Genomic DNA, 22052 nt, shown 5'->3' with positions numbered 1-22052 from the left:
CTTCTACTCTAAGTTACATCTCAATTTGGTCAACTCTTAGTAGAGTCCAAATTATTTTGTTTTATTGGAATTTATATTTTAAATTATAGAGGAAGTAGAGCTTTGACAGGAATTTAGAATTTAAATTTTCGATGTAGAGATACTGATTAAAATGGGGATTTTTTTTTTTTTTTTGAGAGATGGAGTCTTGCTTTGTTGCCCAGGCTGGAGTGCAGTGGTGCAACCTCCACCTCCTGGGTTCAAGCGATTCTCCTGCCTCAGCCTCCCGAGTAAGCTGGGATTATAGGCGCATGCCACCATGCCCGGCTAATTTTTATATTTTTAGTAGAGATGGGGTTTCACCAGGTTGGCCAGGCTGGTCTCGAACTCCTGACCTCATGATCCGCCTGCCTCGGCCTCCCAGAGTGCTGGGATTATAGGCGTGAGCCACCGTGCCCGGCCAGGGATATGTTTTTAAGTTACTGAAAGTTAAGAGTGATGAAGTTTTGATTTAGCTATTTGGAAATGACCTTTATAGTAGAATAGTTGCACATTTTATATGTTAGAATGGTGGTATTTTATAAGAAAATTGTTAACCAATATAAGCTTGGAAATTTCAATTTCAATTACTCTGTTGCGTTGATACTGTATAAAAAGGCAATAAATAGTTGTCCATGCTATTAAATTCAGGGCTATGTGGACTGCTTGACAGAATGATTGTTCACTTTGGAAAAACAAAAAAAACAAAAAATCTTCTGAAGGCAAAAGATAAAATATTGAGGATACAGTGACGTGGAAAATGTAGCTATTATCAAGTGTGAAATGGATTGATCTCAGTAATTGTTATATTTAATAATTTAAACATTTTTTATGACATGCATTTCTTTTCTTTTTTTTTTTTGAGATGGAGTCTTGCTCTGTTGCTTAGGCTGGAGTGCGGTGGCCCAGTTTCAGCTCACTGCAACCTCCGCCTTCCAGGTTGAAGCAATTCTACTGCCTCTCCCCTCCTGCTGTCTGCGATTACAGGCGTGTGCCACCATACCTACCTAATTTTTGTATTTTTAATAGAAATGGGGTTTCACCATGTTGGCCAGTTGTGTTCTCGAACTCCTGACCTCAGGTGATCCGCCCACCTCCGCCTCCCAAAGTGCTAGGATTACAGGCGTCAGCCACCATGCCCGGCCCATGCCGTACATTTCTGACATCATTGTTTATACCATTTGTTTGTGACTCCAAATGTACCAGGAGCAGTGGCCTAGAAATAAAAATTTGTTACTAACAAGTCATTGAGGTGGATTAATTGTAAATCTGGTTAGGAATTAATTTTGTCTTAGCAGATTTATTCTTCAAAAATTCAGAAATTTAAAAATAACTCAGAGATATGTTTGTAAAATAGTATCTGTTTAAGTACAATCAGCTGCACAGTTTTTTTTTTTTTTTTTTTTTGAGACGGAATCTCACTCTTGCCCAGACTGGAGTGCAGTGGCGCAACCTTGGCTCACTGCAACCTCTGCCTCCCAGGTTCAAGTGATTCTCCTGCCTCAGTCTCCCAAATAGCTGGGATTACAGGCATGCGCCACCATGCCTGGCTAATTTTTGTATTTTTAGTAAAGATGGGGCTTCACTGTGTTGGCCAGACGAATCTCAAACTCCTGATTGGCTTCCCAAAGTGCTGGGATTATAGGTGTGAGCCACTGTACCTGGCCAACTGTGCAGATTTTTTTGATCTTCTGGTTCACCTATGAGCACAATGATTTTTGGTAATTTTCAGTGCATGACATACCTCGAAATAAAGCTACTGAGCTACTAAAGCTTGGGTTAGCCATTACTAATCCAAAGTTCTATACCAAACCAATTTTTCTTTTCTTTCTTTCTTTCTTTTTTTTTTTTTTTTTTTTTTTTTGAGACAGAGTCTTGCTCTTGTCACTTAGGCTGGAGTGCAATGGTGCGATCTCGGCTCACTGCAGCCTCCGCCTCCTGGGTTCAGGCGATTCTCCTGCCTCAGCCTCCCGAGTAGCTGGGTTTACATGCACCCGCCACCACGCCTGGCTAATTTTTTGTATTTTTAGTAGAGACAGGGTTTTGCCACGTTGGCCAGGCTGGTCTCGAACTCCTGACCTCAGGTGATCCACCCGCCTTGGCCTCCCAAAGTGCTGGGATTACAGGTGTGAGCCACCATGCCCAGCCACCAATTTTTCTTATGCTTACAACCTAGACATTTTTCTAGCGAATAAGTACTTTACTCTTTCTTGGTCTACCTTCCAATTGGTGAAATAAAGGGAAGGAATTAATGAAGACATCGGGTACCACAAATGGCTTCAGGAATAGAAATCCAGAGGTTCTAATGGTCTTAACCTCGTTTTTTCTTTGCTCTGTATCAATAGGCTAAGGGAACGTAAAGAGTTGCTTATAGAAACCTATTAATAGCTAACATTTGTTAAGGGCTGATGATGTGTTAGGGACTTTTTTTTTTAAGTGTTTTAACATGTACTTTCTTATTGAAGTCTCAAAAGAATTCTATATGATTAAATTTTATAGGCATAATATATTTATATAATAGGTATTTAATAGTATTTAATCATACAAATTTTCGGCAGGGCGCGGTGGCTCACGCCTATAATCCCAGCACTTTGGGAAGCCGAGGCAGGCGGATCTCGAGGTCAGGAGATCGAGACCATCCTGGCTAACGTGGTGAAAGCCCGTCTCCACTAAAAAATACAAAAGAAAAAAAAAAAATATTAGCCAGGCATTGTGGTGGGCGCCTGTAGTCCCAGCTACTTGGGAGGCTAAGGCAGGAGAATGGCGTGAACCCGGGAGGTGGAGCTTGCAGTGAGCCGAGATTGCGCTACTGCACTCCAGCCTGGGTGACAGAGTGAGACTCCGTCTCAAAAAAAAACAAAAATTAATAATAATAATACAAGTTTTCATTATGTCTTATAGAAAACCAAATGGAAAATGAATATAAGGAAATGCAAAATACATTAAATTTCTTTTTACCCTTGCTGCCTGTTTTTTCTTTAGTTCATCCTGGACTTGTGGGCCAATACTTTTTTGTTATGTTTAATACTAGGAGAGCAAATACATAACAGGAACTGTGATGAATCTGGAAAGAAAATTTATATCATTCAGTCTTCCTGAAGCTGTAAGAATCTCCTTAACATCTATTAGATTTATTTTCTCTTTGCATTTAAAGTTTTGGAGAAAATATCTTTGTCATACTGACTTGGTTCTTAGCTATGTAAGAGGACTAAATCTAGGTGCGGAGTTTGCTGGTTTAAATAGAATTAAAAATTTATTTTTTTCTGGTGACCTGGAGAGTGTTTCTTAAAATTATAATAATGAATACTTTTCATGCTCTGATTTATGTATAGGAATTATTAAGAGCTTCACTCTGATAAAGTTATTTACCACTTGGCTACTCAGGGGTGGAGTCATTTCACAAAGGATCTGCAGCGAATGAATTAGACCAGGAGTAACTTCACCCTTCTGCTTGTCCCAGCTGGAGCAGGATTAGGACTCATTCAGCTGCAGCTGGTTCCCAGGAAAATGAAAGCAGTTCCTTCTGGTTTTTTCCTTTCATATGAAAGTCATAGTTCCCAGCAGATGGCTTTCATCAGCCCTGTACATGTATCTGTAAATTCAAGGCCAAGGAATTATTTTCAACTTCATTAGGGAACAGGTGAAGAAACCATTTGTAGTGTGGCACTATTTTATTAGGAGTTGAAATTAAGCATAGAGATTATAGTAGTATGCCATTCTGGGTCAAAATAGTTTTTAACTGTCAGCAATTTAAAGAAAAAAAAAGACTGCTAAGGAAAAGTAAGTCTGGCTGTAGTGTTGATTGAGGTATCTTTTATGGTTGAATTGTATTATGCTTACGAAACATAGATTATTAGAAAAAAAGACTTGTATCTTCTGCATTGTGTAGAATGTTCAGCCAGTAGCAATCTTGGATCACAGTGATTCTAATCTGATTTCACAAATAATAGGGAAATTTGAGAGCCAAAGAGGTTGAAGTGTCTTGTCCAGTGCCACACAGCCAGTTAATACCATCTGGAAGAATTGGTCAGGCCCTTCTCAATTTTGTGCTTTTTTCATTATGCTGTAGTACTGCTTTATAGTATTAGAGAGCAGTGAGCCTAAAATAATTTAGTTAGAATTCTCTTCCTTAATGGAAACCATAGAATAAACCTTGTCTAGAGAATATTGGTGGTATCGTAAACCACAAATATATAAATCTGCTATTTCAGTGTGTGAAAATAGCTATACACTCTTGTTAGAGTTTTGAAACAACTTTTTGGGAAAAGACTGCTTTCTTATGGCCCAAGTTAGAGGAATCAAGGTTTTCTTATGTTGTTGGCTAAATATTAGAAGGGGAACATGTTGAGCTACCTTAATGCTGGAAGAAAAAGTACTCCTTGAGTTTTGGGAAAAAAAGTCCATTTAAAGGTAAGTCTAATTTTCAGTAGGTCTGCAACACAAATGACCTCTGAGTGACTTGGATCATTGGTTAGAATTTAAAATTCTTGAGACTGAGCTAGAGATAGCAAGGTACAAACCTTTCTATTAATTAATGAAGTAATTTTTACCAAAGACATTAAATATGGGTGGACCAAAAGTGTATAGTCTAGCACTTCTATAAACATAGTGTCTGGGAGGAGCTTGAGAGATTTGTAATGTTACTTGTAAACAGACCGTGTGGGGAAGACCGCAGACAGCACATCATTTTTTGTCTTTATTGGTCTTTATGACTAACACTTCATCTCTGCATCACTTCTGCTTTGCTGTAAAACTTAGCAAGTACATTAGGATAGTGGCAAATAAAGATTAAGATTGAGGACAGATGTTTGTAAAATAACTGGGCGATTTTAAGATTATAGGTGTAACTTGTTAAGAAGAAGATAACTGGTGTGGAAATAAAATCTGGCAGCCAAAAAAAAAAAAAAAGCTTTCAATGTGTTAAAGAAGATAGTTGCTTCTTTTGCCGTTTACCTTTTATGTAGAATAGGTGATTCCGCAGATCTAGAGGTGTTGTCAGACTTGTACTATGGGCTGCGTTTTCCTCCAGGGAATTGTGAACTGTAGTTGACCTGAAGAGCTGCTAAGTGTTGGTTTTTAATTCTTTGAGCTTAGTAAAGTCTAGGTTCCTTTTTTCTTAGTCATTGGGTACAGTGAAGCATTTAACTCCTGAGTTTTCTAGAACCTTTAACAGAACTCTCAGAAACATTATTACTATTTTTGTGTGTGGAGTGTGATTCTGTACTTTAATAGTTTCCCAATTTTTCTATTCAGGGCATCTTTAAATATCTAACTTACTATTTAAACCCTCTTTCACCATTTTCCTGCCTTACTTTTTTCCATGCCACTCAGTTTTTCTTTAATTCTGTAACATAAATCCAAAGCCTTATTCTTTGGAAAGCAGTGGTACTTGGCACTAAATTCACTTTAGCATTACCTGAGGAAGCTTAAAAAATAAATACCAAACTAATTAAATTTGACTAGTAGTGAGGCCCAGGTTTCAGTTTTTTTTATTTTTTATTTTTTTAAGAATGTTTATCTGATGTGCAGCTGGGGTTGAGAACCATTGCTCTAATGCTTAGAACCAACATCTCTGTAGTGGGGACTGGCTAAGAGAGTCAGAAGACAGAAGAAGCAGGTACTTTTTAACCTCATAATTGACATTCAAACAAATGATGAAATAGCATGCTTCACACACACCCTCATGAACACACTTTGGACCCAGGACAGTGTACTTCTGGAAATGTACATTCTGTTTTATTGTCCTCCCTGGCTATAACTACTCTAATCTTCCACCTTTCTTTCTCCTTACCCTCACTGCTTTATCTCAAGAAGATCTTGTGTGGTATATAGTTGCGAGAAAGTTACCTGCATGATTCCGACAGGTGCCCTGCCATCACTCTAATGCTGTTCTCATTGCTTGGCCTTATGGCACATTCTCACTCACTCACTACTCCTGCATCATGTTGGCAAACTCCAGCCATTTACCACCTTCTCCTTTTTTTTTTGAGTTGGAGTCTTGCTCTGTCACCCAGGCTGGAGTGCAGTGGTGCGATCTCTGCTCACTGCAACCTCCATCTCCTGGGTTCAAGCGATTCTTCTGCCTCAGCCTCCCAAGCAGCTGGGATTACAGGTGCCTGCTACCACCCCTGGCTAATTTTTGTATTTTTTTAGTGGAGACGGGGTTTCATCATGTTGGCTAGGCTGGTCTTGAACTCCTGACCTCAGGTGATCTGCCCACCTTGGCCTCCCAAAGTGCTGGGATTACAGGCATGAGCCATCGTGCCCAACCTCTCTGCTTTAACTTTGGGGAAAATCTCATGACCATGTGGTGGGATGCCACTTACAAATTTGTGGCCTCCAATCTGAGCTCTGCCCTCTGCTTGAAGATGTATGTCTGTGTATAGTCTGTTCTGTCTGCAGAAATTCAGTATTTCTTCCCACCTTTTTTTCTCATTTTCAGTAGATACTCCCATATGCTACATCATAGAGATAATGGAATCTGTCCAATTGAGCTCATTGAGTTTATACCCCTCTCATGCCATCCTAAATACATCTGTGCTTATTTCTGCCCGCTTTGCTACCTTGTCATAGGACAGTGAAAGAAGTGTGAAAGGCTCATCTCTCCATTCTTTTTCAGGACCCCATTCTCTGCTACCTCAGGGGCCGTGTGCCATCAAAAATAGTCCCATTTTTTGACTCTATCATCTTTCTCGCTCACTTTTTAGTCCTTAGCAGGCAGAAGACTCTCCCGTTAGAGTAAAAACAACCAAAAAACCACTGCAGATCCTTCTTTCTATGTATACCCTGTCTGTTTCCATTCATTTTTAAACTTCTTGAAAAAAGTCTATATTCATTCCACGTCTGCTGCAATCTGGCTTTTGGCCCTAGAGCAGCACTATTTGAAACTGCTCTTGTGGACAGTTTTCAGTCTTATTTTACCTGAGTTCTCAGCTGCATTTAGCATTTGTTGACCATTCTTCCCTTTCCTCTGGGATAATTCTTAGATGTCTCCCCCTTCCTCCCATCTTTCTGGTAATTCCTTTTCAGTTTATTGGCGTTTTATCTTTTGCCTGTATCTAGATGTTGGATTCCCTAAGGTTCTGTTCTTCACTCATTTCTTACTGTTTTCTAGAGAGTTATCTAGAGATAACTTTCCTGAGTTATTTCTAGACCTCTGTGTTCTTTACTGATGACTCTAATTTCATATCTTAATTTGAGAGCTCTCTTCTGATCTCTGGACTTGTATATTCCATTGTGTAGTATTTTATGTCAGTCTCTTCAGATTCACAATGGCTCAGATGGAATTTATCAACTTCCTTTAACCGGCTGTCATTTCTTACAGTGGTAAGAGCCATTGCCATCGATTCTGATGCTTAAAATGGAAACTTTGGTGTCATCTTCCATACCTCACTTGTCTGTCTTTTGGATTCAGTTCTATTCCATCCCATGTCTTCTCTCTTACACTTTTTAACATCTCTTATTTAACCTCTTCTGTATTCGAGGTCCTCTGTTAGAGCAGGTCCTCATCATTTCTCTCCTGATTACCTTAGTAGTTTCTTCATTGATTTTCCTTCCTCCAGTATCATCTTCGTCTAGTCCACATTATTGCCAAAATGATCTTACTAAGAAATGATTAAGAACACAAGCGCAAAGACCAGACCATCTGGGCTTTCTATCCCACACTGGGACTACTTGCTTTATGACCTTGGGTAATTTGCTTAACCATTCTTTGCCACATTTTCTTCTATAAAATGGGGATAATACAGTGCTTATCTCATAGTGAAGTTGTGAGAATTTAATGAGTTAATATACATCTGGGCTGACAGAACTTTGTGCAATGATGGAAATGTTCTATATCTGTACTGCCCTCTGTGATAGCCAGAGCCATGTGTAGCTATTGAGCTCTTGCAATATGGCCAGTTGAGTGAGGAGCTGAATTTTAAATTTTATTTAGTTATAATTTAATTGAAATAGCCACATGTGGCTAGTAGCTGCTATAATGGACAGTACAGAATATGTAAAGTCCTTAGAAATAGTGTTTAGCACATAAGTGCTCCATAAATGTTAACTGTTATTACCATCTTTCTAAAATTAAACTTCTCTGCTTAAAATCCTTCAGTACCAAATTCTGCGATATAGTATATATGAGTTGTAACCCATTCCCGTGCGTTGCTCCAAACTTGTCAATTGCCACTTCTTCATAATGCCCTCTGTGTTCCACTGTACCAGTTCTCAAAGTGTGGATGTAGAGGACAGCACCAGCAATAGTATCCCCCAAAAACTTGTTTAAAATGCAGATTCTTGAGCCATATTTCAGGCCTATTCAATCAGAAACTGAATTTGGGGCTTTGCAACCCGTATGTTAGTAAGTCCTCCAGGCGATTCTGATGCACGCTTGAGTTCGAGAGCCATTGTACTGCATCAGTCTCCCTGCAGTTCCTCAGATCTATCTTGTTTTCCCTTGCCCCTATATTTTTCTCCTGTCTGGAATGATTGTTATCCATTTTTTCTTCCTCATAAATTAGCTCTTCAACCTTGCAGACTTAGTTTAGTCAAGTTTCTTTCTGTTTCTTCCTCCTTATCACCCACCCTGCTCCCAGGCTGACTTCAAGACCTGTCTTAATCTCCATGCTGCATATGTCCGTACACACTTGCATCATAGACCATTTTACATAGTACTTTTTTAGCCTGTCTCCTATTAGTGAATTTAGGTTCTTGTTTTTCGTCTTTGTATTTCCATCTATCTGGCAGTATCTGATTGTTTTGTTTATTTTTAATTTTTTTAATTAAAAAATTTTTAACTGTTTTGTTTGGGTTGTTTCATATGTATTAAGCATCTTCCAGGGGCCGGCACAGTGATTAGGAGTGACAGAGTAGGTAAAGCAGACATCGTCTCTGTAATAAATACACATGGTGATAAGTGCTCTGATGAAGTAAAATAGAGCACTGTGGAAACACAGAGGAGGGGGTGGAAAAAGTCAGGGAAGTCTGTTCAGAGGAAGTCACATGTGAAGTTAGTGAAGTGGGGAAGCAAATGGGTGCGGTGGGAAAGAGAGTAGTTCCTGAAAAGGGAACAGCATGTACAAAGGCCTAGAAGCAAAACATTGTATGCACATAGTAACTGTTTAATTGGATATGAATTTTAAAAATCACATGTCTAACTTAGCTCTCGGTTTCGAAGACATCACCCTTCCCAGCAAACATTGCATTTTATATGCTTCTGTATTTTTAAAGCAGTTTTCATACTTGATATCACACTTTGAGTAGATGGTTATGGTGTGATAGGGTAACTTCCAAGCCAGCAGGATACATCTTTTTACTTACTGCCTTTTAAAGCAGAAAAAAGGATTTGTTTTGTCTGAAAATTATTCCACAGGGCCAGGAACACATCAGTGGTGACAGAGGTAAACACATTACTCTTATTGAGTAAGAATAGCCAAGGTTTGGCCAGGCACAGTGGCTCACGCCTGTAATCCCAGCACTTTGGGAGGCCGAGACAGGCAGATCATGAGGTCAGGAGTTCGAGACCACCCTGGCCAACATGGTGAACGTCTCTACTAAAAATACAAAAATTAGCCGAGTGTGGTGGTAGGTGCCTGTAATCCCAGCTACTTGGAGGCTGAGGCAGAAGAATCACTTGAACCTGGGAGGCAGAGTTTGCCGTGAGCTGAGATGACCACCACTGCACTCCAGCCTGGGCAACAGAGCAAGACTCCATCTCAAAAAAAAAAAAAAAAAAAAAAAAAGCCAAGGTTTTAAATAAGCATTAGACCATTGAGAAAGCATATCATTAGGAAGGCTGAAGGCAGCCAGTGTGCCAGCCACAACTGTTGTCACTTTTTTAGCCTCACTGTGTATTGGCTCTTTTTGCTCTTGTTGATGCCATCCCACTTCCTGTTCTCATTAGCCCTCCATTGTAAGAGTAACGTGGCATTCGTTAATGTGCTGTGTAAGCTCCAACTATTAATTTGCTACTGAATATTTGCTTTTGTCTTTTTGAGACTTTATATAATTTTTAGTAAAATAAAAACTCACCTTTTGCTCTCTTTGATTGCTTTGCAAATGGGTTGTCTTCATAATTTATTAACTTTGAAAGAAGACTGATAAAAATACAGTTTTGTTTCTCATAACTTTAGCCAATCGGGACAAACCTAGAGAAGAAGGAAAAAGGGAAATAAAATCTGTTCCCCTAAAACTTTATATGGATGGTAATATTGAAATATTTCAGATATTGAAGAATTTTGCTTTCACATACATATATTTTTTGATATAACAATTTTGTACATAGGTACAAAAGATAGGCAGTCCAGGTGCTATGATTGCCAAGTTTTACTTAGTCAGAATTATATAGTTAAGGTAATAAATGGAACTAGAGCCTAGGTCTGTTCAATCTTAGTACTCCTTGAGCCACATCAAGCTGCCTGTTGTGCAAGACTACAGTTCATGAAAATGACAAGCATTAAAAAACAAGTACTCCTGGCTAACACGGCAAAACCCTGTCTCTACTAAAAATACAGAAAATTAGCCAGGCATGGTGGCAGGCGCCTGTAGTCCCAGCTACTCGGGAGGCTGAGGCAGGAGAACGGCGTGAACCCGGGAGGTGAAGCTTGCAGTGAGCTGAGATCGGGCCACTGCATTCTAGCCTGGGCGATAGAGTGAGACTCCGTCTCAAAAAAAAAAAAAGTACGACCAGGCATGGTGGCTCACGCCTGTAATCCTAGGACTTTGGGAGGCTGAGGTGGGTGGATCACCTGAGGTCAGGAGTTCAAGACCAGCCTGGCCAACATGACAAAACCCTATCTCTACTAAAAATACAAAAATTAGCCAGTTGTGATGATGGGTGTCTGTAATCCCAGCTACTTGGGAGGCTGAGGCAGGGAGAATTGCTTGAACCCGGGAGGTGGAGGTTGCGGTGAGCCAAGATCACACCACTGCACTTCAGCCTGGGCGACAGAGCTAGACTCCGTCTCCAAAAAAAAAAAAAAAAAAAAAAAAAAAAAGTGAATGCTCCTTCAATATTTATTTCATAGATCTGTGAAACCATTTATCAAATCATAGGTATTATTCATCTTTGGATCCAGCTTGCAGCACTTTCTAACGATGCCCATAGAGTGTTTTTATAATTGAAACCATCATGTTTGAACTAGAAGGGGGATGATAGAAATTAGGTTGATTAAAAAAATTATTCAGCTCTCTTTATCCTCTCAAAATTTATAGCCTCTAGATGAAAAGGAGAAAATAGGGTATCAGATGTATTCTAGAAATGCTTGATACCTCAGCTGAAAAGTACCATTTGCCACTTCCTTCAAGATAGTATTTGTTTTGTATTACCCATATAATATTTTTAAAAGTTAAAAACACTTTTCTGAATAGGTAATGTATTCATCACTGTGTAAAATTCAAAAAGTACAAAAACGAGAATTCTGTGAAAAGTATTATTCTAAGTCTTATTCCCTAGCTACTTGGCTCCCCTCTGGGAGGCAGCCGGTGAGCTGTATGTTTCTTTTGTACCTTTTGAAATGATTGTATGTGTATACAAATGATCACTTTATGTATACATTTCTCCTGTCCCCCCCCCCTTTTTTTTTTTTGCATTTGGCAGCATACCTTAACATACTCTTTTGCATCTTACTTTTTTTTTCTCACCACTTAACAATATATGCTCATGCACTTCATAACAATGTTGCAGTCAACAGTAGACCACATATACAAAAGTTGTCCCATAAGATTTTAACGGAGAGGCGGAGCACAGTGGTTAACCCCTGTAATTCCAGCACTTTGTGAGACTGAGGCAAGCAGATCACTTGAGGTCAGGAGTTCAAGTCCAGCCTGACCAACATGGTGAAACCCTGTCTCTACTAAAAATACAACAACAACAACAAAAAATTTGTCAGGTGTGGTGGCAGGCTTCTGTAATCCCAGCTCCTTGAGAAGCTGAGGCACGAGTATCACTGGAACCTGGGAGGCAGAGTTTGCGGTGAACCAAGATCCCGCCACTGCACTCCAGCCTGGGTGACAGAACAAAACTGTGTCTCAAAAAAAAAATAATAATAAAATAAAATAAAATTTTAATGGAGAGAGGTGAAATTAAGGAGGCTTAAAGATGGGTGACTAGAGGACCCCAACATTCACCTTCTCCACAAAGGTGGACCAAAACAGCCAGTAGATAATCACATTTTGAATGCAGCATTTAAGAGAGAACACTGAAATTAAACACGGAAAGGATGAGGAACCTCTGAGGCACAGGAAGAGAGGGAAGTGAACAGCTGGCCTGGCTGGGATTGGCTTGGAGCCGGGAGAAAGTCCCCAGTGTGGAGAACAGGTAAGAGACAGATCCCCAGTGATCTGTGTTCCCACCATGGACTCCTGTAATCTGGCCTCAGGAGAGCTTCTTGGCCTTCATGGGCCCTGATACTAGAATAGGAAAATAGGGAGCTGCCTGGAGCCCCCTTGTCCGAGACCCAATGAGCTGCAGCAGGGTGCCATTTTGACAGTCCAGCCCCTATTAGACCACATCTTTCTCTGGCGCCCAATTGCCCTTGAATCTCCATATCCGTAGTGCTCTGATGACATGTTCCTGTGTCCATCCAGAGGGCTGCAGCATCACAATGCCAGCTGGACCCAGCAGTGCAGAGCATATTAATTCTCCAGAAAGAGTCCAGTGGAAAAAAAGAAAAATGCCTGAGAAACAGTTCAAAATAATATTAAAGAAGCTCAGTGAAATACAAGGGTACACAATGTAAAGAAATCAGAAAAATAATTCATGATCTGAATGAGAAATTTAACAGATAACATAAACAAGAAACAGAAATTGTAGAACTGAAGAATTCAACTAATGAAATAAAAGCTATAATTGAGGTGGTCATGGTGGCTCATGCCTGTAATCAATCCCAGCATTTTGGGAGACCAAGGCGGGAGGATCGCTTGAACCCAGGAGTTTGAGATCAGCCTGGGCAACATGGTGAGACCCCTGTCTCTTGAACTGTGATCATGCCACTGCACTCCAGTCTGGGCAACAGAGTGAGAACCTGTTTCAAAAAAAAAAAAACAAAAAAAAACTACAACTGTGAGTGCTTTTAACTATAGACTAGATCAAGCAGAAGAAAGGACATCTGAATTTGAAGACAGATCTTTTGAAATAATTGTCATACAAAAAAATAAGAAAGCATATGTGACATATGGGAGGGACACCATAATGTGACCAAATATTTGAGTGTTGGGTATTCCAGAAGAATAGAGGGGCAAAGGCATAGAATTATTACTGAAATAATAACTGAAAAGTTTTCGAATCTTACAAAAGATACAGACATACAGATTTAGAAAACTAAAAGATTTCAAAATAGATTCAGTCCATAAGGTGTTCTCCATGGCACATTATAGTCAAACTGTCACAAAGACAGAGAATTCTAAAAATAGCAGGAGGAAAGCAGTGAATCACAATATAAGGGAAGCCCCATCAGACTAACAGCAGAAATCTTATAGGCCAGGAGAGAATGGGATGATATATTCAAAATACTGGAAGAATGAAACTACTGGCCAAGAATACTACACCTAACAAAGCTGTCTTTTTAGAATGAAAGATAAATAAATTCTTTCCCAGATAAGAAAAAAATCAAGGGAATTTATCAACACTAGATGGCCCTACAAGAAATGCTTAAGGGAGTTCTAAATCTGAAAGTGAAAGGGCAATATGTACCGCCATGAAAACATGCAAATACATAAAACTCACTAGAAGAGCAGACATACAAATGAAAAAGAGAAAGGACCCAAATATTACCACAGGAAATTACCAAACTGCAGTGACAACCAATGAGAGAGGAAGAAAGGAACAAGGATACACAAAACAACCAGAAGGTTAACAAAATACAGGATAAGTCTTCAGCTGTCAATAATAATCTTGAATCAGATTAAATTCCACACTTAAAATATGTAGATAAACTGATTTTTTTTAAGACCCAATTATATACTGCCTACAAGAAACTTACTTCACCTATGAAGACATATAGACCGAAAGTGAAGGGATGGAACAAGATATTTTATGCAAATGGAAACCAAAAGTGATTAGGAGTACTATACTTCTATTAGATAAAGTGGACATTAAGTCGAAAACTGCAAAAAGAGATAACATGGGTCATTACATAGTGATAAAGGGATCAGTACAGCAAGAGGATATAACAATGGTAAATATATACGCACCCAATATAGGAGCACCCAGATACATAAAGCAAATGTTATTAGATCTAAAGGGAGAGAACAACTCCAATATGGTAATAGTTGGGGACTTCAACACTTCACGCTCAGAATTGGGCAGGTCAGCTGTGCAGAAAATCAGCAAAAACTGTGGATTTAAACCACACTTTACACCAAATGGACCTGACTGGTATTTACAGAACATTTTATCCAGCAGCCAGAGAATACACATTCTTCTCATCAGCACATGGATCATTCTCTAGGATAGACCAAACAAGTCTCAACAAATTTTTTAAAACCAAAATCATATCATGTATTTTCTTAGACCAAAATGGAATAAAACTAGATATCCAGAAGAAGAGGAACTTTGGAAACTATATAAATACAAGGAAATTAAACAGCATGCTCCCGAACAATCACTGGGTCAATGAAGATACTAAGAATGAAATAAAAAAAATTTCTTACAACAAATGGGATATAGCAAAAGCAGAGTTAAGAGGGAAGTTTACAGCCAATAAGTGCCTCCATTAAAAAAGTAGAAAGATATCACATAAACTACCTAATGCTGCACCTCAGGGAACTAGAAAAGTTAAGAACAAACTAAATCCTCAAATTAGTAGAAAGAAAGAAATAATAAAGGCAGGAGCAGAAATAAAATAGAAACTGAAAAAATACAAAGAATCAACAAAATGAAAAGTTTTTTAAAAAGACAAAATTGATAAACTGCTAGCGAGGCAAACCAAGAAAAAAGAGAGAAGACCCAAATAAATTAGAAATGAAAAAGGAGACATTACAACTGATACCACAGAAGTACAAAGGATCGTCAGCAACTATTATGAACAACTGTATGCTAACAAATTGGAAAACCAGAGGAAATGGATACATTACTGGACACGTACAACCTACCAAAATTGAATCAGGAAGAAACAATACCTGAACACCCAATAATGAGTAACACAATTGAATCAGAAATAAAAAGTTTCCAAAAAGAGAAAAGCCTAGGACCAGATGGCTTTCCTCTCAATTCTACCTGCTGAATTTTACCAAACTTAAGAAGAAGAACTAACACCAGTTTTTCTCAAACTATTCCAAAAAATTAAAGAGGAGGGAATTCTTCCTAACTCACTCTACAAGGCCAGCATTATCCCAATACCAAATCCAGATAAGAATACAACAACAACAACAAAAGAAAACTACAGGCCAATAGTCCTGATGAACATACATGCAAAAATCCTCAACAAAATACTGATAGACAATCCAAACAATCCAGCAACAATCAAAAAGATAACACACCATGATTAATTGGGGTTTATCCTAGGGATGCATATTCAAATATGTTCATGTTCAACCTATGCAAATCAATAAATGTGATACATTGCATCAATAGAGTGGACAAATATCTTGATAATTTCAATAGATGCAGAAAAAGCATTTGATAAAATTCAACATCTTTTCATGATAAAACCTCTCAACAAATTAGGCATAAAAGGAGCATACTTCAACATTAATAAGGGCCATCCATGACAAACCCACAGCTAACGTTATACTAAGTGGGGAAAAGCTGAAAGCCTTTTCTCTAAGAATTGGAATAAGGCAAGGTTACCCACTCTCACAACTCGTATTCAGCGTAGTACTGGAAATCCCAACCGGAGCATTCAGGCAAGAGAAAGAAAAAAAAGGCATCCAGATTGGAAAAGAGGAAGTCAGATTGTCCCTCTTTGCAGACAACATGATCTCATATGTAGAAAAACATGAAGGCTCTACAAAAAAACTTTTAGAACTGATAACACAAATTCAATAAAGTTGCAGGATACAAAATCAACATACAAAAATCAGTAGTGTTTCCATACACCAATAACAAAAGAATGGAAAAATAAAGCAATCCCACTTACAAAGCTACCAAGACAATCACACAAAACCTAGTTATAAATTTAACCAAGGAGGTGGAAGACCTCTATAAGGGAAACTGTAACAGTGATTAAAAAAAAATTGGAGGACACAAACAAATGGGAAGACATCCCCTGTTCATGGATTGGAAGAATTACTGTTGTTGAAATGACCATATTACCCAAAGCAATCTACAGATTAAATGTAATCCCCATAAAAATACCATCAACATTGTTCACAGAAATAGAAAAAACAATCCTAAAATTTTTACGGAACCACAAAAGACCCTGAGTAGCCAAAGCAATCCTGATCAAAAAGAACAAAGCTGGGGGCATCACACTACTTGACTTGAAAATATATTACAAAGCTGTAGTAACCAATTCAGCAAGGTATTGGTATAAAAACAGACAGACCACTGGGACAGAATAGAGAACTCAGAAATAAATCCATGTATTTACAGCCAACTGTTTCAGTAAAGGTGCCAAGAGCATACACTGGTGAAAGGACAATCTCTTTAATAAATGATGCTGGGAAAGCTGGATGTCCATAAGCAGAAGAATGAAACTAGACCCCTATTTCTCACTTTATGCAAAAGTCAGCTCAGAATGGATTAAAGACTTAAATGTAAGGTCTGAAACTGTAAAACTACTTGAAGAAAACATAAGACAAGAAGCTACAAGAAAACAAGAAAGCTTAAGGACATTGATACAGGCAAAGATTTTATGGTTAAGACCTCGAAAGCATGGATAACAAAAACAAACAATAGACAAATGGGAATATATTAAACTAAGGAGCTACTGCCCAACAAAGAAAACAATCAGCAGAATGAAGAGACAACCTGTAGATTGGGAGAAAATATTTGCAAACTATTCATCCAACAAGGGACTAATATCTAGAATGTACAAGGAACTCAACTCAAAGACAAGAAAACCAAATAATCCTATTAACAAGTTGGCAAAGGATCTGAATAGACATTTCTCAAAAGAATACATACAAATGGCCAACAGGTGTATAAAAAAATGCCCAGCCAAAAGTGCAGTGGCTCACACCTGTAATCCCAGCACTTTGGGAGGCTGAGGAGGGCGGATCACCTGAGGTGTAGGAGTTCGAGACCAGCCTACCCAACATGGCGAAACCCCGTCTCTACTAAAAATACAAAAAATTAGCCAGGCATGGTGGTGGGCACCTGTAATCCCAGCTACTCGGAAGGCTGAGGCTGGAGAATCACTTGAACCTGGGAGGTGGAGGTTGCAGTGAGCCGAGATCATGCCACTGCACTCCAGCCTGGGCAACAAGAGGGAAACTCCATCTCAAAAACAAAACAAAACAAAAAAAAACCTCAGCATCACTAATCATCTGGGAAATACAAATCAAAACTATAATAAGATACCATTCTACCTTGTTAGAATGGCTGTTGTCAAAAAGACAAAAAATAAGTGCTGGTGAGGATAGGGAGAAAAGGGAACTCTTATACATCGTTGTGAGAATGTAAATTAGTACAGCCATTATGGAGAACAGTATGGAGATTTCTCAAAAACTGAAAGTAGAATTGCCATATGATCCAGCAGTTCCACTATTAGGTGTTTATCTAAAGGAAGGAGAATCAGCATATCAAAGGGATACTTATACCCCCATATTTATTGCAACACCATTCACAATAGCCAAGATATGGAATCAACCTAAGTATCTATGAGTTGTTAAATGGATAAAGAAAATTTTATAAATGTATATGTATATATACACACCATGGAATACTACTCAGCTATCAAAAAAGAATGAAACTCTATCATTTGCAGCAACACGGATGGAACTGAAAGCCATTATTTTAAATGATATAAGCCAGCCACAGAATGACAGCTGTCACGTTCTCACTTATATGTGGGAGTAAAAACAGTTGACTCATGGAGGTAGAGAATAGAATGATAGTTACCAAAGTCTGAGATGGGCGAGGGGTGGGGTGGATGAAGAGAGGTTAATGGGTACAAACATACAGTTAGAAGGAATAAGTTCTAATTTCATTGCTTAGTGGGGTAACTGTAGTTAACAGCAATATATTGCATATTTCAAAATAGTTAGAAGATTTCAAGTGTTAACCAACACAAATGATAAATGTTTGAGGTGATGGATATCCTAAATACCCTGATTTGATCATTACGCATTGTATGCAGGTATCAAAATATCACGTGTACCTCATAAAGATGTACAATTATGAATATATTAAAAATTATTACAGTGGCGCTGAACAGTTTCTACACCTAGTGATGTCATAGACATTATAGTGTACATAGTGTGCACTACTCAGCATGTTTGTGGTGATATTGGTGTAAACCTGTGCTGCCAGTCTTATGAGAGCTTAGCACATACTATTATGTATACTACATAATACTTGATTATAAGCAACTACCTGTTACTGCTTTATGTATTTATTATAGTTGTTATCATTATTTTAGAGTGTACTCCTTCTTATTAAAAAGAGTTTACGGTAAAACAGTCCCAGACAGGTCCCTCAGGAAGTATTCCAAAAGAAGGCATTGTTACCACAGGAGATGACAGCTCCATATGTGGTATCACCCCACTTTCCAGTGGGGAAAGATGGGGACAGTGGAATACAGTGATATTGATGATCCTGACCCTGTGTAGGCTTAGGCTAATGTTTAATGTTTGTTTTTTAATGCTTAACAAAAAGTAAAAGAAAATTTTTTTTTTTTTTTTTGGATAGAGAAAAGTTTGTAGAATAAGGATATAAAGTAAGTAGGCTGGGCGTGGTGGCTCACACCTGTAGTCGCAGCAGTTTGGGAGGCCAAGGCAGGTGGATCACTGGAGCCCAGGAGTTTGCAACCAACTTGGGCAACATGACAAAACCCCGTCTTTACAAAAATACAAAAATTAGCTGGACATGGTGGCGCGCGCCTATAGTCCCAGCTACTTGGGAGGCTGAGGTGGGAGGATCACTTGAGCCTGGAAGGTTGAGGCTGCAGTGAGCCAAGATCATGCCACTGCACTCCAGCCTGGGCAACAGAGTGTGACCCTGTCTTAAAAAAAAAAGTAAATATATTTGTACAGCTGTACTGTACAATGTGTGTTTTGAGTGAAGTGTTATTACAAAAGAATTTTTAAAGTAAAAGAAATTAAAAAGTTTATAATGTAAAAAGTTACATTGTGGTAAGGTTAACATTATTGAAGATAGAAATTTTTTTCCAAATTTAGTGTAGCCTAGGTGTTCAGTGTTTATAAAGTTTGTATTAGTGTATAGTAATGTGCTAGGCTTTTGTGTTCACTCACCACTCATTCACTGACTTTCTTGGGGCAACTTCTAGTCCTGCAAGCTCCATTTGTGGTAAGTGCCCCATACAGGTGTACTAATTTAAAAAAATCTTATATATTGTATTTTTACTGTTCCTTTTCTATGTTTAGATACTCAAAATCTTACCATTGTGTTACAATTGCCTTCAATATTCAGTATAGTAACATGTTGTACAGGTTTGTAGCTAGGAGCTGTAGCCTATACCATATAGCCTAGGTGTGTAGTAAGCTATACAGTCTAGGTATGTGTAAGTACACTTTATGATGTTGCACAATGATGAAATTGTCTAATGACATATTTCTCAGCATGAATCCCCATCATTAAGCGACACATGACTGTATCTTAAAGGATGTTTCATATCAGTACATTAGGCTTAGTAATGTTTCATTGTATGAGTGTATCATAATTTATACATTTTTATATGTAGCCCCTTGTTAATGGACATTTGTTTCTAATTTTTTTTGTGATGACAAATAGTGCTGCATTAATAACCTCATTTGTATATCATTTCACTTATAAGTCCCTAGAAGTGGAATTATTGGGTTAAAGAGTGTTATGGCGTTATAATTTTGATATTCCTGTATTTTTCTCCATAGAGAGTCATCACCAGTATGTGAGAGTAACTGCTTCCCTATACCCTTTGCAACACACTGTAAATTTTTTTATTTTTGGCAGTCTGACAAGTGAAAAATCGTTACCCACTTTTGACTACATGCTTTCACTCACAGGGGAGTTTGCTCTTCCAGCCTAATGACCAAAGACAACATCTAATTTGTATTTGTACTGTTAGGCTGTTTTAACCCTGATTTTCCAAAAAAAATGTACAGTTCTTAGAGGTAATCAAATTTTTTTTTTTAAACTGTTACTATGTTGCTTTAGAAATATCTAGGTTTTTTTGCTGGGTCTGATTTGAAAGCAGTGACCTGATAAATTTCTGTTAACCTTACCACAGTGTAACTTTTTACGTACAGTATTTTACAAACCTGATACAGTATCAGGTTTGATACTGATAGGTTTGTCAGTCTTTTTAAGTGCCCATTATGTAGTACCTGTATTTGAAAACCTGTATAATTTTGAATACATATTATATGCTAGGTATTATATTTAGATCACAGCAACTCTTTAAAGAAGATTGTCTGTGTTGAAGGCTCATAGAGGTCAAACGATTTGCCGTAGTATATTAGAATGTAGATGCTGGTAGAGTCATTAAAAGAGAAAAATACACATTTGGAGTTGAGATAAACTGAAATTGTTAAACTTGTGCAATAATTAAAAGTATTAACTGAGTTTTGTTTTGTTTTGTTTTGTTTTTGAGACAGAGTCTTACTCTGTTCAGGTTAGAGTGCAGTGGCACGATCTCTGCTCACTGCAGCCTCTGCCTCCCAGGTTCAAGCGATTCTTGTACTTCAATCTGCAGAGTAGCTGGGACTACAGGTGTCTAATTAGCCAGCCTAATTTTTGTATTTTTAGTAGAGATGGGGTTTCTCCACGTTGGCCAGGCTGGTCTTGAACTCCTGGCTTCAAACAATCTACCTGCCTTGGCCTCCCAAAGTGCTGGGATTACAGGTGTGTGCCACTGTGCCTGGTCTAAAGTACTCCCTGAGTTTTTTACAACACAAATTCTCATTAGTTTAGGACTTGAGTTAAGAGTATTAAGAGCAGAGATTCCAGTCTCACCATTTACTTGTTATTTGATCTTTAAATTACTTAATTCTCCATGAGCTTCAGTTTCCTTTTCTGTAAAAGAGGGATAGTATTATAATAGTACCTAAATTACAAAATTCATAAAGCAACCTTACCTTTTTAAAGATTGTGTTTAGCCTGATCATGTCATTGTTGCAGTGGTTTTTTAGCCTGTTTCAAAAATAGAGAGCAAGAAATAGTGCTGACTTCCTTCTCTTTTCTCCAGTAAAACAAGACAAAACAAAGTATCAGTTTGTTAACTCACAAAATATTGCCATCACATTTTAAGACCATTTGAAATTTTCATGAACACATAAATTTTAATATGACATAGAAGTAGACAGATAACATAAAACCATTTGTCACGTTTTATAATCTATTTAAATTAGGATGGATTTTTTGGATCATATTCCTTTGGGAAAGGCAAAATATTTAAACAATATTCCTATTCCCCCTCAGTTTGGCCCTATTTGGAAGTAACAGTATATCTCTCTTTCCTCAATAAAAGAACAGTAACAAGGACAGCAAACTTCCTCATAAAAAACAACAACAACAACAACAAGCAGAGTACCCCCCCCATTGTTAAGTTGTTAAAATAAGTCTTTATTTTATATCTTGAAAGCTCAAGATTAGGGTAAGGATCAAGTTACAGAGCTGTTTTTTCCCCATGCAAAGTGGCCTGGTTCATATTAGGAATGAAACTAGTGACTGTAATGTAATTAAGCACTGTGTTGTATAGCACTGCTTCTCAAGTTTTCCTTTGGGGATTTTGCTAAAATGAAGTTCCAGATTTTTGGTGAGGTCTGAGATTTTGCATTTTTAAAAAGCTCCCCAGTATTACAGTGCTGCACAAAACACAGTTTTGAGTAGCACGTTTCTGTAGCACTAACCCATCTTTTACTCTTGAGTAATTATCTTAAATCATATGCTTATTTTCAGACATTCATTCAGCAGATTTCTGCTGAACGTCTATGTCCCTGACACTATG

General features: G+C 38.1%; 1 protein-coding gene across 2 annotated transcripts in view; it reads left to right on the top strand.

Moving 5' to 3' along the window:
- The window catches only part of KAT6A (lysine acetyltransferase 6A), a 122509-nt gene that overhangs the window by 9370 nt on the left and 91087 nt on the right, over positions 1-22052 (top strand). The gene's annotated exons all lie outside the window — the stretch shown is intronic.

Source organism: Homo sapiens, chromosome 8 (genome assembly GCF_000001405.40).
Source record: "Homo sapiens chromosome 8, GRCh38.p14 Primary Assembly".
In the NCBI taxonomy this organism is placed as follows: Eukaryota; Metazoa; Chordata; class Mammalia; order Primates; family Hominidae; genus Homo; species Homo sapiens.
The sequence above is the reverse complement of the archived record's forward strand: the minus strand, read 5'-3'. Positions and strand labels throughout refer to the sequence as shown.